This window comes from Homo sapiens, chromosome 3 (genome assembly GCF_000001405.40).
Source record: "Homo sapiens chromosome 3, GRCh38.p14 Primary Assembly".
Lineage (NCBI taxonomy): Eukaryota > Metazoa > Chordata > Mammalia > Primates > Hominidae > Homo > Homo sapiens.
The window spans coordinates 32,886,925-32,903,159 of NC_000003.12; the positions used below are offsets into that span (position 1 = coordinate 32,886,925).

General features: G+C 43.8%; 1 protein-coding gene across 1 annotated transcript in view, besides 2 other annotated features; it reads left to right on the plus strand.

Annotated features, from left to right (window-relative positions):
* Positions 1 to 10,900, plus strand: part of TRIM71 (tripartite motif containing 71) — a 79,828-nt gene extending 68,928 nt beyond the window's left edge. The window contains exon 4 of the mRNA NM_001039111.3: positions 3,436 to 10,900. Coding sequence (NP_001034200.1) covers positions 3,436 to 4,887 — 1,452 coding nt within the window. The 3' untranslated portion in view covers positions 4,888 to 10,900. The remainder of the gene's footprint in view (positions 1 to 3,435) is intronic.
* Positions 15,959 to 16,038: a silencer, noted in NCBI's record as "silent region_14179". NCBI's record gives its function as "represses an Ori minimal core promoter by ATAC-STARR-seq in GM12878 lymphoblastoid cells {active_cell/tissue: GM12878}" and the evidence as "EXISTENCE:reporter gene assay evidence [ECO:0000049][PMID:35858748]".
* Positions 16,080 to 16,235: a silencer, noted in NCBI's record as "fragment chr3:32944496-32944651 (GRCh37/hg19 assembly coordinates)". NCBI's record gives its function as "represses an EF-1alpha promoter that drives an FKBP-Casp9 reporter gene in an ReSE screen in K562 erythroleukemia cells {active_cell/tissue: K562}" and the evidence as "EXISTENCE:reporter gene assay evidence [ECO:0000049][PMID:32094911]".

Consider the following 16,235-nt stretch of genomic DNA (forward strand, 5'->3'; position numbering starts at 1 on the left):
CCTCTTAAGGAATATGGCTCAATTGCTTTCTGACAAGAGACTTTGGAGGTGTTAGTCCAAGATTTTTAATTCAGCATATTTTTTGAGCACCTTTGTGGGCATGACATCATTTTCAGACACTCAGATGTCCCCATGGGTCTGCCAGTGTTATGCCACCCACGAATGTTAATTATAACTGAGGGGCCCATTTCTTGCAACCTGAGAGCTTTGTAGTGAACTCTGCCACAAACTCGCTCTTCTGGATTTCCTGATGAAAAAGGCCTTTGTGTGTGGGGGTTTCTGCCGCTTTCACCTTAGTTACCCTCCCTCCTGTGAGGCTGACCCACTGTCCTCTCTAAAGGCAGTTCTGTTTCAGAAGAAATAGCAAGTTTTTACTCTTGGGAGAAGCCTATTTGAAAGAAGAGTCCATCCCTTCTTCATTGTAGTAAGCAGTTTCTGCTTGCCCAAAAATTCATCCTCAGAGCATTCCAAAATAAGCTTCCTTATTTTGGATACTTTTGCTATAGAACCTTGCTCCAAATCCTGTGGGGTCCCTCTCTCTTTGACTAATTACTGACTTTTTTTTTTTTTTTTTTTTTCTGTTCCTTCCCAGCAAATCCCTCTTACTTTGCCTGTCTCTGTCTGGGCATCTCTTTGTTACAAGTTTTGTTTTCCTGCATCTCTGGTTACTTTAAGATATATAAGTGCAAGGATTAAGATAACCCTGTTGTAAATATCCAGATGCCTCTCTTCATTCTTGGGCCTTATGTATTTCCAGTGGACTTGGCTACCTCATGGGGTTAGCTGCATATATATAGTTCATGGGTAAGAACCAAAGGTGGAGGTTTGGCCTAATGGGCAAATATTCTTTAATCTGTCCCCACGTGGGCCTCTCCATACACATGTATCCTGGTTCACTGAACAGATGAAAAAGCAGGAATGAGTCGAAATCATATAATCACCCCTCCCACCCTAAAGGGAAAGTCAGGTTGAAATCCAGCTCTTTCAACAGTGGACGCTTATTCTGAAATAGCCTTCTATGGCTTTCAGATCTGTAGAACAACTCAAGTCATGGTCCTCTGTGAAAACTGTTTGGATAAGTTCATTCGCTTCACAGGGGGAAATTGCTTAGAATTAGAGAACTTTTAAAGAATAGAGAAACTAATGTTTCATTGGTAAAACAAAATTCCATATTTCTAAATAGCATGGTTTGAGAACCTCAAGCAGGAATTATTTTGGCAGGTTAGAATCCATGTCCATATATATTATAGCATTTTAGATTTAAAGGGCTCTTTTGGAAATAATACAGACATGCCAAAAGCGTGCTATGTTAAAATTTGGGGTACAGGGCTTCTCAGGTTCCCAGTTGGGTTTTTAAAACCATTCTTAAAATACAGAAGTAAAGAGAAACTGGCCCAAGCACAGTGACTCACGCCTGTAATGCCAACACTTTGGGAGGCTGAGGTGGGAAGATTGCTTGAGTCCAGGATTTTGAGGCCACCCGTGGCAACATTAAGACCCCATCTCTACCAAAAAAAAAAAAAAAAAAAAAAAAAAAAAAAAAAAAAAAGGTGCCCTGTGGTGGTGGTCTCCTTTAATACACATTTCCCAAGCTAATCCTTTTGCGGTTTGTTGTTGTTGTTGTTGTTGTTTTGAGACGGAGTTTCGCTCTTATTGCCCAGGCTGGACTGCAGTGGCACGATCTCGGCTCACTGCAACCTCCGTCTCCTGGGTTCAAGCGATTCTCCTGCCTCAGCCTCCCAAGTAGCTGGGATTACAGCCACCTGCCACCACGCTCGGCTAGTTTTGTATTTTTAGTACAGAGAAGGTCTCACTATGTTGGCCAGACTGGTTTTGAACTCCTGACCTCAGGTGGTCCACCCATCTTGGCCTCCCAAAGCATGAGCCACTGTGCTGGGCCCCAAACTAATTCTTTAAGAATATGAATCTGTCATGTCACTCCCCTACTGAAAGCTGTGGTTGTGAAATGCTGAGCCTGTGCCCACAGCAGGACCTTTGCTGTTTCCTTTGCTGAGATAGCTCTCCCTATGGCCTTTTGCCTAGTCTCAACCTGTAGGTCTGAACTTGTGAAAGGCACTGTCCCTCAGTGCTCTTTGTCTGTATCAGGGCCCCTAGACACTGTCTTTCACATCCTTTTTCTACTTTTTAACACCTATCACTATCTGACATGATCCTTATTTCTTCGTTTGCTTTTGAATACTGCTTTTCTAAACTACAACTCTGTGTGAGCAAGGACCATATTTTATATTTTCTGTGGGTTACTGCAGTACCTCCAATGCCTGGCAAAGTGTAGGTGCTCAGTACACTCCTTTGTCAAATGGCTGTTTTTGGTTTTGGTGGTGGGATCTTGCTATTTTTTTAAGGTGGGATCTTGCTGTATTACCCAGGCTGGAGTGCAGTGGTTATTCACAGACACAGTCATGGCACACTACAGACTCAGCCTCCTAGGCTCAAGTGATTCTTCCACCTCAGCTTCCCGAGTAGCTGGGATTACAGGTGCACAGCACTGTGCCCAGCTCTAGATGGCTGTTTTTAACTTTTATTTTTTTTAATTTATAGCTTACAGAAAAGTTGCAGTAATAGTAACTCCATATATTCCTTCTCCAGATTTACTGATTATGTACGTTTTGTCCCAATTATTATTATTATTATTATTATTATTATTATTATTATTATTATTTTGAGACGGAGTCTCGCCCTGTTCCCTAGGTTGGAGTGCAATGGTGTGATCTCTACTCACTGCAACCTCCGCCTCTCGGGTTCAAGCGATTCTCCCCACATCAGCTTCCCAAATAGCTGGGATTACAGGCACCTGTTACCACACTTGGTTAATTTTTGTTATTTTTAGTAGAGACAGGGTTTTGCCATGTTGGCCAGACTGGTCTCAAACTCCTGACCTCAGGTGATCTGCCTGCTTCATCCTCCCAAAGTGCTGGGATTAGAGGCATGAGGCGTGCGTGTATGTGTGTGTGTGTGTATGTATGTATGTATGTATGTGTATATATGTTTGTGATCTGAGAGTGAGTTGGCATATTGGAAACACAATGCCTTTACCCCTAATCACATTACAATTACAGAAATCAGGAAATTTGATTTTGATACAGTACTAGCATCTACTCCTCAGTCCATAATCAAGGTTCAACAATTGTCCCAACAGTGCTTTTCATAGCTAGCCACTCCCTCCAGTCCAGAGTCACTAATTACATATAGTTGTCCTGTTTCTAGTAACTATCCTCTGTAACCCAGAACAGTTCTTCAGGTTTTTTGGTCCATTTTGATTTTGCTGCTTTTGAAGAAAGACAGATGTCTTTTGTAGACCATCCCACAATATGTGTTTGTCTGATGCTTCCTTGTGATTAGTTGTGGCTTATGTGGTATTTTCTGTGCTTGGCTCTAAGCCTCTGTGTCTTTCTCCACTCTTGCTTTTCCCTCCAGGTAGAAAAGATCCGCCAGGTGAAAGCCAAGTCTCTGTACCTGCAGGTGGAGAAGCTGCGGCAAAACCTCAACAAGCTTGAGAGCACCATCAGTGCCGTGCAGCAGGTCCTGGAGGAGGGTAGAGCGCTAGACATCCTACTGGCCCGAGACCGGATGCTGGCCCAGGTGCAGGAGCTGAAGACCGTGCGGAGCCTCCTGCAGCCCCAGGAAGACGACCGAGTCATGTTCACACCCCCCGATCAGGCACTGTACCTTGCCATCAAGTCTTTTGGCTTTGTTAGCAGCGGGGCCTTTGCCCCACTCACCAAGGCCACAGGCGATGGCCTCAAGCGTGCCCTCCAGGGTAAGGTGGCCTCCTTCACAGTCATTGGTTATGACCACGATGGTGAGCCCCGCCTCTCAGGAGGCGACCTGATGTCGGCTGTGGTCCTGGGCCCTGATGGCAACCTGTTTGGTGCAGAGGTGAGTGATCAGCAGAATGGGACATACGTGGTGAGTTACCGACCCCAGCTGGAGGGTGAGCACCTGGTATCTGTGACACTGTGCAACCAGCACATTGAGAACAGCCCTTTCAAGGTGGTGGTCAAGTCAGGCCGCAGCTACGTGGGCATTGGGCTCCCGGGCCTGAGCTTCGGCAGTGAGGGTGACAGCGATGGCAAGCTCTGCCGCCCTTGGGGTGTGAGTGTAGACAAGGAGGGCTACATCATTGTCGCCGACCGCAGCAACAACCGCATCCAGGTGTTCAAGCCCTGCGGCGCCTTCCACCACAAATTCGGCACCCTGGGCTCCCGGCCTGGGCAGTTCGACCGACCAGCCGGCGTGGCCTGTGACGCCTCACGCAGGATCGTGGTGGCTGACAAGGACAATCATCGCATCCAGATCTTCACGTTCGAGGGCCAGTTCCTCCTCAAGTTTGGTGAGAAAGGAACCAAGAATGGGCAGTTCAACTACCCTTGGGATGTGGCGGTGAATTCTGAGGGCAAGATCCTGGTCTCAGACACGAGGAACCACCGGATCCAGCTGTTTGGGCCTGATGGTGTCTTCCTAAACAAGTATGGCTTCGAGGGGGCTCTCTGGAAGCACTTTGACTCCCCACGGGGTGTGGCCTTCAACCATGAGGGCCACTTGGTGGTCACTGACTTCAACAACCACCGGCTCCTGGTTATTCACCCCGACTGCCAGTCGGCACGCTTTCTGGGCTCGGAGGGCACAGGCAATGGGCAGTTCCTGCGCCCACAAGGGGTAGCTGTGGACCAGGAAGGGCGCATCATTGTGGCGGATTCCAGGAACCATCGGGTACAGATGTTTGAATCCAACGGCAGCTTCCTGTGCAAGTTTGGTGCTCAAGGCAGCGGCTTTGGGCAGATGGACCGCCCTTCCGGCATCGCCATCACCCCCGACGGAATGATCGTTGTGGTGGACTTTGGCAACAATCGAATCCTCGTCTTCTAATTGCATTTCCTAGGTTTCTGTGTTTGGGGTGTGTGTGCGTGTCTCTCTCTCTCTCTCTCTCTTTCTCTTTCTCTCTCTTTTTGAATTTCAAAGAAGAAACAGTCTCAGGGAAATTTCTTTTTTCTTTTTTTTTTTTAAAGAGAACAAGAAAAGTACAACATTGCTTAAGTCCTACCTCATCTTTATTTTTTTACAGATGAATGTACTTATCTTTTCTGCAGGGATTGAGCCTGTGAAGTGATAATTTCTATCTACCTCATAAATCTTTACATTTCCTTCTGCAACAGGCCCTCTTCCCCTCCTCAGTGGAGTTTGCATTTCCCTCTTCCCCTGCGTGGGGCATGATATGCACAAGCCTGGCATCTGTATGGCTGGGAGGGCACTGGATGTGTGTGGTGGGGTGTATTCTGTAGATTGAGCCAAGGAAACACAAAAAAAAACTACTAAGTAAAAAAACAAAAAACTATAAAACATGGAAAAAATAGGATTTGAAATGCATAATTATAGAATACCTGTGTTCTTGAGAATACTGTTTATATGGGGTTTAGATTATGTTGTGTTGTTTTGATCTTTTTGGAAAATCTTCTCTTTTTAAATGCTGCAACAGAGAAATTTCCTCTGTTCTCTGTTTATACCTCAGTGTGTTTAACATCCTCTTCTGCATCGTTTCTTGATCTTAGACGTTGTGGCTGTGGCTTGCTAGCCAAGAAAAGCAGACCCTTCATATTTTAGGGTATATAATCTTTGTTTCTTTTAAGGGAGGGTGTGTGCATGTTTGTTTCAAAGCCATCTTGCACCCAAGTAGTAAAGCTGAAAATGACACACTGCCTCCCAAAGAACCTCTCCTTTTCACACTTTGGTTTCTTAAAAAAGTATATAGATGGTAGCTCAGGATTTTTGATTAAACATATTCTCAAAAGTTATGCTTTCTTATTTTGCTGTTAGGTTATAAAGGGTTAAATGGAAGGAAAAAGGAAATTAACCTCGTTCTCAGAGAGAGGGTTTTCAGGCATGGGCTGACGTGGACATGAATGTGGGTGGACATGCGTGTGCTGAGGGAGTCAGGGAGCACATTAAAGAACAAGGCACCCCCAAACTATAGGAACTCCACAGAAAGGGCAGGGTCTGCCCTGACCCGCGAGTGCATGTTGTTCTGTAGTGCTAGGGGTTTCTTTTCCTAAGAAGAGTAGGCAAAGGAAAGAACTTTTATTTTACAAGCACAATTTTTTCCTGCTTTGAAAGTTCAGGGAAATAGAAGGTTTGAAAGTCAAATTAATACCAACAGCCCAGTCCCACACCCTCTGCTTGGGTCACTTTTTATAGGATTGTTTGCACCCAGGCCATGCTTTAGGACCTCATGGTTAACATGAATCCCCCCGCCCCCTCTCCCCCCAAGGCCTTTGACCATAAAGGATCTAGAAACCAAATTGTCCCAACCTGAAATGTAGGATGTAATGTCTTTTCTTAAACCTGTAACTCGGTACCAAAGAATGAAAATTTAAGGCTCCCACTGCAGAACTGTGGGGTAGAATCTGTGTCACTTTACAGGATTGGTTGGTTGTAAGCTGGACTTGGGTACAAAACTTGTGCTTCTGGGCATTGTCTGTCTTTCAAGTGCAAAGCAGATGTAGCTGATACCCTGCTTGTCAGAACCCAGTGGGTTCCTGCAATGCCCCAAATACTGAAATAAGAACCAAATTCTGGAGGAGCCCTCCTCAGGGAAAAGAGGGACTCTCAAACAAACGTCAGTGACTTACAAGGGAGACCTCTTGTTTAAAGACTTATGGATCAACTTCTGTTCCTCTGTTTAAGAGAAATTTCTATTGCAAAATGGGTATCGTTTTAAATGAGCAGAACAGATTAACAAATGGAGCAATTTGTTTCTGTTATCCCAATAGAAAAGGAGATGATGGGGACAGTGTGACAAGTCAATCAAGTTGCTTTTCCCGTACACCTCTTTTGGACGTTTAATTTACTACTACTACAAGCTACTCTGTCTCTTCCCATTGCTTTAATTCTAGGGTTTCTGAGTGACCAAAATGGGAAGGAAAAAAAAAACCTCATCTCACAGAGGAGAACTGCATGCAATAAAAGATTCAAAAGTTGGAAAGTAGCTTCAAACTGCTGCTGGCTCCCAGCTGCTGTTACAGGGTGGGAAGGTGTTAGGAAATGTTGTTTGTTAGAAGCTCCTTTTACTGTAGAATTTAATAGTGAATCCTTCCCCAATGCCTATTCAGTTGCCTTTTGGCCGTTAAGCTCTAAGTTCTTTGGTAAAGAGTTAATATAATTAAACATTTTTACTGTTTTCTATTTTGGAGTAACTTGGTGCTGATCTTCCTTCCCTTTCCCCAGCTGCCCAACAAGCCACCCTTTAAACACCAAAGACAACTGGTTTTAAATGCTTGAAAAAAATTTTATTGAGGAGATGGATCTTGATTAAAATCTTTTCATCATCATTTTCATTCTGCTCTTTTCTTTCTAATTTCCCCAGATGTAGGAAAATTTTGGGACCTGAATGAGAAATGTTCTTGGTGCATAACAGTAACTAGAGCTCCTTATTTGACATTTTACTATGGATGTGATCGAAAAGCCAAGATTTTCGCTCCATGGCTGAAATTATCAGGTCTTAATTTACAGACTTGTAAATTTGCAGGCTTAGAGCAACTAGAACTATCCCCTGAAATAGGTGTGTAGGTCAGAGATACTACCTCTTTGTCCTCAGTGGTGGTATATCTATCTCCTTACCTTTCTGTACCCAAAATGGTGCATGACTGGTATTTGAGAAACATGGTCACATTTGGAAAGCTTTTGTTTTTAAAACATTGGCGGTTTTTCCTGCCCGTGGTTGACTCCTGACCCATAGGGATTGGTGCGAAGCACTTTGGAGAGTGTTTATTGTATGATGTGAAATGTTCTAAATCAAAGAAAGATGATAAAAGCCAACATTTGGCAGTCCCTAGTGTGAAACTGTGAAAAGTACCTGTGTTTAAATGCATAATCTCCTGCCCGGGTAATGCCAGGTAGCCAGGAGTTGGGTCAAAGAAGGGAGTCGTCATCCTGATGGAAAAAATAAGGTCCTGGGTATTATGAGGTAGGAGAATAAAAAGGTTTCTGGGGAGTAAGTATGACAATTACTAGTCCCCATGGAGGTCTGATCTGGTCAGGTGGCAAGGGTTGGGTGGGGTATGATGTAAGCTCAGTTTATGTGTGGAGATGCCCATTGGGTTTGGATATATAGGTTTGAGTATTGAGATGTTTAAAGGACATCTAACCCATAGGTAAAAACTACTTTTGCTTGACACTGACTTAACATTTCAAAAGTGTTATTTTTGGTCCCAAGATCTAATGCTGTCTCAGAACATGTGCCCTGTTGTGGCTGCAAGTGGCACTCAAGTTGACTAGAGCACAGTGACCTGGGTTGTACCCCAAGTGCACTAACTCCTCAATGCCCTTTTAAGTCTAACTTATTTGGGAAACACATAACAAAGGGTACCATAAACCGAATCCAAATTACGTGTTGGGCCAAAAATGTTGCCAGAACTGAGGCACTTTGTGATGGAGTTGCAAGAGATAGCTTGAGATCGGCTCAGTCTGATTTATTCTAGTTAAGCCAAAGCTTAATTATTTGAGGAGGAAAGTCTTTTAGGCTTGAAGCAGCAAAATACTGTTTATATATGTGTTACCTTCCTCGTTGGAAGATTCTACGATTGCTCTGTTCTGGTAGGTGGTGAAAGATATGCCAAAGTTTTAGGCTTGTTTTTCTGATCTTATTTTTTTAATCCAGTGGTGCCAAAAAGTATTTAGGGTATGTTTAAGGTATATTTAAAACATCACTCTGAATGAGTTTCCAACAGTCTGGGGCTGTATAAAAGTCACACTCTTGTACTTGCAGGTGATGGTGTCACAGGGCCAGGGCCTCCAGAGCTCTACGGCTTTCTCTGGTTTTCTATAGGGCCAAGGGCACAGGACGCAGCATTCCAGACCACACTGACTGCTTTTGCTGAGTTTCTACCTCACTTGTGGCAAGTCATCTACCTCATGTTAGCATCTGACAGGTCTCAAAAAGAATAGTATTAATCCAGTGGGCAGTGGGTGGGAGTGGGAAGCTACCTCTAAAAGAAATGTTACCATAAATCTACAACTGATTTCTCCCAGGAGAAATGTTCTACTTACCTTGAAAGAGAAATGTCAGGCAAATGTAGTCATAAATCCAAGTAGTTCTTAGCAATCTGGCTTTTCCCCCTCAAAAAGAATTATGCATACCATTACTGTTGTTCAGTATTATGAAACTACTGGTTAATCTGACCTATTGGAGGACTTAACTACAAATAAAGACCTTTAGGTCTCTTTCTCTTCAAGAGAAAAATATTTTATCTGTATTTCGAATGTCTGCAAATAATACCCTTTAGGAGCAATTCTAAAGGTCTAGATCTTGGAAACATCAAATATTTGAAGGGAATGAGAATCCTCTTGACTTCATGATTGTATTTGTAGCTCTCTGGACCCGGCAGGACGTTCATCACCATGATGTTGCAACAATCACTGTTTTGACTGAGCAGTGACTGTTGAAGTGTGTATTGCTCTTTTGTTTTGTTTTTATTTTTTTCTACCAAAGGTAACATGTTGACGGGTTTTTTTTTTCCTTGTTTATTAAATACTTGATAAAGTTGAGAAGCACATTACCAGGATATACTGTATTGACCCTCCCACCTCTCTTCTGCCCTAATTTTTGGTTGTTTGGAAGAGAGGAGGGTCCTAAGACCACTGTCATTATCATGAGGGGCTTATAAATGTCATGGTGAAGAAATACCTCAATGATGTCTATTTTTAAAACTGATCTTACGGGTTAACAAGCCAGCCTGGTGGGATATTTTCCATCATCATTTAACCAATAATGGTTCTAAAAGTTTTGTGTATCCACATGGTCTTAGACCTCCTTTTAATGATTGTATTAACTTACAAGCTCAGGTAGTATTTTTCTTAAGACTCTATCTCAGAGCACACTGACTGAATGTTGATGTGTGTAGCAAAGTGTTTACTTTCTTTAAATAACCAGCTCTGTAACTCTGTAAGTTCTTTGTGTTTCTAGCAGTCTGTGTAGTTGTCTTTCTTCAGAGGAAGATTTTTCACATTTCTGGGGTTTTCTTGCTTTTAGGGTGGTAAGATTCCTTTCTTTTTTTCCCTTTTCTCCTAAAATCGATGCAGGTAAGGGTGGGTGGGTAAGGGGTGTTGTTTTTTAACTAGCATGTTAGTTATACTTGGGTGGGTGGGAGGGTTGTTAAACTGAATCTTGCTTAATACTGTCCATTAGCTCTCATGCCGGGTCAGCAAAATGCTTTAATTTTTAACTGCAGAACATGTGACTCGGTTGAGTCTTTTTGTCTTTTTTTTTTTTAAATAAACAATTGGGGGAATTAATGTGGGCAAGTTGCCTTATGTTAGAATGACTAAGTTAAACCTCTTAATTTGTATTTGTCCAAGGCAGACATGATATAAGGAATATGCACTACCGTAGTAACTCCCCTGGCCGCAGAAACCACACTGCAAGCCTGTCCGGGGTGGGGTGCTGACTGCCATTTGCCACTTTTAAATGGGCACTGCCGTGGTAATGTGAATCCCATCAATGCAGTAGATGGGTGGGGAAATGAAGATTTCCCCCCAAACCTTTAGGCAAAAGTGAGTTTTTGTTTGGTTGATTTTGGGTTTTTTTCCCCCCTCCTCTTTTGGCTTTCACATTTTAAATCTTAAATGTTACTATTGCAGGCCGCAGGCATGACAGGCAATGAGCAGGTGAAGAACCAATGGAAAAGTGTTCAAAAACTCCTGTGTTAGCTAACAGGCTTCTGAATGTATCACTGTGGTCCACAGAGAAGGCTGGAGGAGGTAGCAAGGAGATGCTGTATCAGCTACTACAGCCTTAAAACAAAGTTGGTGTCTCTTTGGACTTTAAAATTGTTCCTATGCAGCTTATTTTATTTTTGTTTAATCAAATAAACGAGGGTTTTTCCATGGCTACAGTGTGTCTGTGTGATCCTTTAATCCATAGTAAATAAGGGTATGTGCACTGTACTGGATGGAAAGGGAGTCCCTGAGGTAGACAGTCCAGGAGCTGTACTGTGACTGGTGGGCCAGATTGGGCCCATGCGGTGCCTTCAAAAAGAAAAAGGTGATGGGAGCATTTTTAAATAGAGTAAATGTTAAAGAGCCTAAAAGTTATGGATTGTCACGAAATTTCAGACCTGGAAGCCTTGTATGTATCTTCTCCCAAGGAGCTGAGTAGCAGATGTCCCTCTAGAGGCAAATATGTGACTTCCCAGCTGCCACCACCCTGTCCCCCTTTCTCTGGAAGGTCTTGGCCTTATCACCTCTGTCTGAGTAGAGGTACCTGGGAACCATTTGGGGTCTAAACTGTGGCCCCAGGAGATGTGAGCAACTCATCCAACTGGCTTCTCCCTCAGTGGGGGGATACCGTAGATGCTGGGTGGATAAAGACTGTTAATCGTGAGCTTAATGTGTTCAGAACTTTATTTGGGATTTCATTTTTCACTGGACTTCATTTTCCCAACTTTGCTCACCTATTTTCTTTCGAGTCATACAGCCTCAGGCTTGACTTTGGAATGCAGTATCTGACAAACTAGAGAAACCAGCACCCTGGGTTCTACTTTTCCTGATGTTTTTTCCTGTCCTGTGTCCCTTTCCTGCTGTGAGACGTTTACACAGGTTCTAATGGTGTTGGGTCTTCACTACAGTACAGGAAACACCCTCTTAAAGTGCAGACCCTCAGTACCTGACTTGGGAACCTCTGCTCTTTCCTTCACTCCTTCCCATGTTGGTGTTGATACCTTCAGCTTCAAAATTAACACATCCTGATTAGCAGTTTCAAAAAGACCCTGAAGTGTAAATGGACTCTGAATTCTTGTCTCCATTCTTCCTCTTCCCATCTTCCATCTTTTTTGGGAAAGTCCTCTCACTTTCCCTTTTACCCATAGCTGGACACAAGGGAAGGCTTTTTTGTTGAATATAAAAGTTGGGTAGATGCACTTTTTCTTTTAAGAAAGGAAAGGAATCTTTTCTCTTTAATCTGTAAAAAAATACCTAAGAGAAGCTAATACAAGGAGGCAGGACCCATTTCTGAAGGAAGTGCAGGGAAGGGAAGCATACAAAGAACACCTGATCTTCAGTCTCCCTGATTTTCACAGCCTCTTTGACAGGGTGAAATGACCCTTGAAAGGGCTTAGAATGCCTATACCTCTTTGTAGCAGGCCATTAGGCTGCCTTTCTTAAAGGTTAACAGCCAATAATACAGTAGTGAGTATTGGCAAGGATGTGGAGTAATTGGAACCCTCGTATATGGCTGGCGGGATTGTGAAACGGTAAAGACAATTGTTGAACACATCTTGACAGTTCATCATAGCGTTAGACATAGAACCCAGCAATGTCAATCTTAAGCACATATCCAAGAGGATTGATGACATGTCCACACAAAAACTAGTACATGAATGTTCATAGCAACATGATTCATAATAGCCCCAAATGCAGGCAACCCAAATTTCCCTCAACTGAAAACTGGATAAACAGCCATAAAAAGGAATGAGGTACTAATGCATGTTATGACATGGGTGAACCTTGAAGTGTTAAGTGAAAGAAGTCAGGCACGTAACTGCACATACATGAAATGTCCAGAATAGGCAAATAGGTACAAATAGATATGTGGTTGCCAGGGCCTTGGAGGTTGAGAGGAATTGGCAGTTTTCTTTGTGAAACTCCATAGCAGCCATGGATATTGAAAGTGCTCTGGAATTGGATAGTGGTTGTCGTTTCACAACTGGTGAAAATACTGGAGATCACTGAACTTTACATATTAAATGTAAAGTGCATAGATTATGAGAAGGCACAGCAACAAATCAAATTTATATCTGACTGCATTAAAAACTTCCGTTCGGCCGGGTATGGTGGCTCACACCTGTAACGCCAGCACTTTGGGAGGCCAAGGCGGGCAGATCACGAGATCAGGAGTTCAAGACTAGCCTGGCCAACATGGTGAAACCCCGTCTCTACTAAAAATACAAAAATGAGCCAGGCGTGGTGGTGGGCACCTGTAAACCCAGCAACTTGGGAGGCTGAGGCAGGAGAATTGCTTCAACCCAGAGGCAGAGGTTGCAGTGAGCTGGGATCACGCCACTGCACCCCAACCTGGGCAACAGAGCAAGACTCTGTCTCAGGGAAAAACAAAACAAAAAATTTCCGTTCAGTGAAGAGGTTTGATTTTCTTTTCTGACCTCCATACAACTAGCGTGAGCAGCAGTGCAGATGACCTTGAAAAACACGGGTTCCGCATGTGCAAACAAATAGGGATGGAAAACATTTGTGGGATGTGAAACTGACCTATGTGGAGGGCTGAATTTGTATCCACGGGTTCCACAGACCATATGGAATACTTGTGTTCCACAGACGAGTGGCTGCGTGGAGTATGTGCGGGTTCCACGGAGCGGCCGAATGGAGCATGCGCTCCACTGGTAGCTGCGGGCGGTCCTGAAAGCAATCTCCCGTGGTGCCGAGGGATGGCTGTATTTCACTGCATCTAAGTGAACTGTTAGATCTCTCTTCACCTCCCATGACCACAGGCAGTATCCTAGTATTCCTGATGGCAGGAAGTGTCATCAGCCTGGATCTGGGAGAGGCTGACACAAGAGCAGCACGCCAGGCAACCAGGAATGCACATGTGATAAAAATGTATACACTTGTTGTGTGTTTTTTATGTTTTAAAAATTAGTTCAATGAAGTACAGTAGGGAAATTGTCAATAATTTATTGTAAATTTCAAAATAAAAGATTTGTATTGTTCCTAGCACAAAGATAAATATTTGAGGCGATGGATATCCGAAGTACACTGATTTGATAATCACATGTTATACAAGTTTCAAAACTCATATGGACCCCCAAAATATGTCCAACTACTATATATCAATTTTTAACTTACAAAAATTGAAACTTGAAAAACAACAATATTAAAGAAGCGAAAGCATAAGCCTCAGAATGGGAGAATATAAAGGTATAACTAATAAAGGATTGCCATCCAGAATATTTAAAGAACTACAATAAGGAAAACATACCCCAATTAAAAACAACGAGGCAAAGGGTGGGGTTAAGTTATTTACCGAGCTCAACTACCCTAGAACTCAGGGAAATACAGACCAAAGCAACAATAAGATACAATGTTATACTCATCCTTTGGATAGAAATAGGAAAGTCTAATTATAGCAACTGTTGGTGAGAAATGGGAACTGTCCTACACAGCTGGTGGGAGTGAAAAGGAGTACAACCTGTTTGCAGGGGAATTTGTCAATACCTAGTAAAGGTGAAGATGTACACATACACACGGATCCAGTAATTTCACCTCCAAAATATGCTGTGGAGAAATTCTAGCACAAACAACAGCATAAGAAGACTTAAAACAGTCGCTGCCTGGTTGTCTGGAGTACGTAATGCCAAGTATCTTGTCAGTGGGGAGATAGAAGAGTACATTTGATATATTTATTCAGTGCAAGTTAAAGTGAATGGGGACGCTACATGTGTGTAGGTACATCTAAAAATCATTGGGTGAAAGAAGTTCTAGTATGATTTTACAGTATACCTTTTACATAACATTTGAAAAAAAGTACAAAACAAGACTACATATTTGCTATAGATTTGACTTGTTCGACGAGCATTAAGTGGCTAGGTGGATGGCATGTGGTGGGACTTCTTGCTAGAAGAGGAAGCTGTAAAAGTGAGCCCAACCAATTTCTTTATGGTTACTAAAAATGCAGGTTGAGCAAGTAGATTAAGAAAGCCTCAGAACTTTGTTTTCCCTCTTCCTCCCTTTATGACTTGCTCATAAAACATGACAATAGGAGACAAATATGAAAACAATGAGGACAGAAATCTGTGTTTCTAGAAAGAATGGAATGGGTATAAAATGGGTATGAAGCGGTAAGAAATTGCCTTTCCAGGACAGACAAGCAACTGCCCCCACCTCACCCCCACCAACACTTCCTTTTCCTCAAGACATGTTGAATGTTTTGTTTTCTCTACCTTTAACAACCATCTTTGTCCCTAAGTATATAGCAATAGACTTTAAAAATGCATTTCAGGCCGGGAATCTGGCCCGGCGTGGTGGCTCACACCTGTAATCCCAGCACTTTGGGAGACCCAGGTGGGTGGATCACCTGAGGTCAGGAGTTCAAGACCAGCTTGACGAACATGGTGAAACCCTGTCTCTACTAAAAATACAAAAAAATTACCTAGGTGTGGTGGCTGGCACATGCATGTAATCCCAGCTACTCAGGAGGCTGAGGCAGGAGAATTGCTTGAATCTGCAAGGCGGAGGTTGCAGTGAGCCTAGATGGCGCCACTGGACTCCAGCCTGGGTGACAGTGAGACAACGTCTGAAAAAAAAAAAAAAAAAAAAAAAAAAAAAAGACTTTCATGTCTCCCAAGCAACAATCCAAATTTTTAAAATTTAATTAATGAGGACTAGAATAAAACACTGGAAGCATATACTCTGGTGGAATATTCAGACAATTCAACTTTTAGAGACTAGCATTTTTTTGGTCTAGGTATACTTTACACACAATAAATTTCACACATTTTAGAACATGGTTCTGTGAATTTTGACAAAAACACAATCACATAACCAACACAACAAGCACCATCAGGGCAGAAAAGCCAACTTGGCTTCCTAAAGGAGACAGAAACGAATGTCTCGTTAGTTTCATGGTCATTATCCATGAGATTGTAATACATGCTTAACCTGTCAAAATGAGAGGTGACAGCGTGCTGGCAGTCCTCAGAGCCCTCGCTTGCTCTTGGCGCCTCCTCTGCCTGGGTTCCCACTTTGGCGGCACTTGAGGAGCCCTTCGGCCCGCCGCTGCACTGTGGGAGCCCCTTTCTGGGCTGGCCAAGGCCAGAGCCGGCTCCCTCAGCTTGCAAGGAGGTGTGGAGGGAGAGGCGCGAGCAGGAACCAGGGCTGCGAGCAGCGCTTGCGGGCCAGCTGGAGTTCTGGGTGGGCGTGGGCTTGGCGGGCCCCGCACTCGGAGCGGCCCGCCGGCCCTGCCCGCCCCGGGCAGTGAGGGGCTTAGCACCCGGGCCAGCGGCTGCGGAGGGTGTACTGGGTACCCCAGCAGTGCCGGCCCACAGGCGCTGCGCTCAATTTCTCGCCGGGCCTTAGCTGCTTTCTCACGGGGCAGGCCTCGGGACTGCAGCCCGCCATGCCTGAGCCTTCCCCCGCCTCCATGGGTTCCTGTGCAGCCCGAGCTTCCCCGACGAATGCCGCCCCCTGCTCCACGGCGCCCAGTCCCATCGACCGCC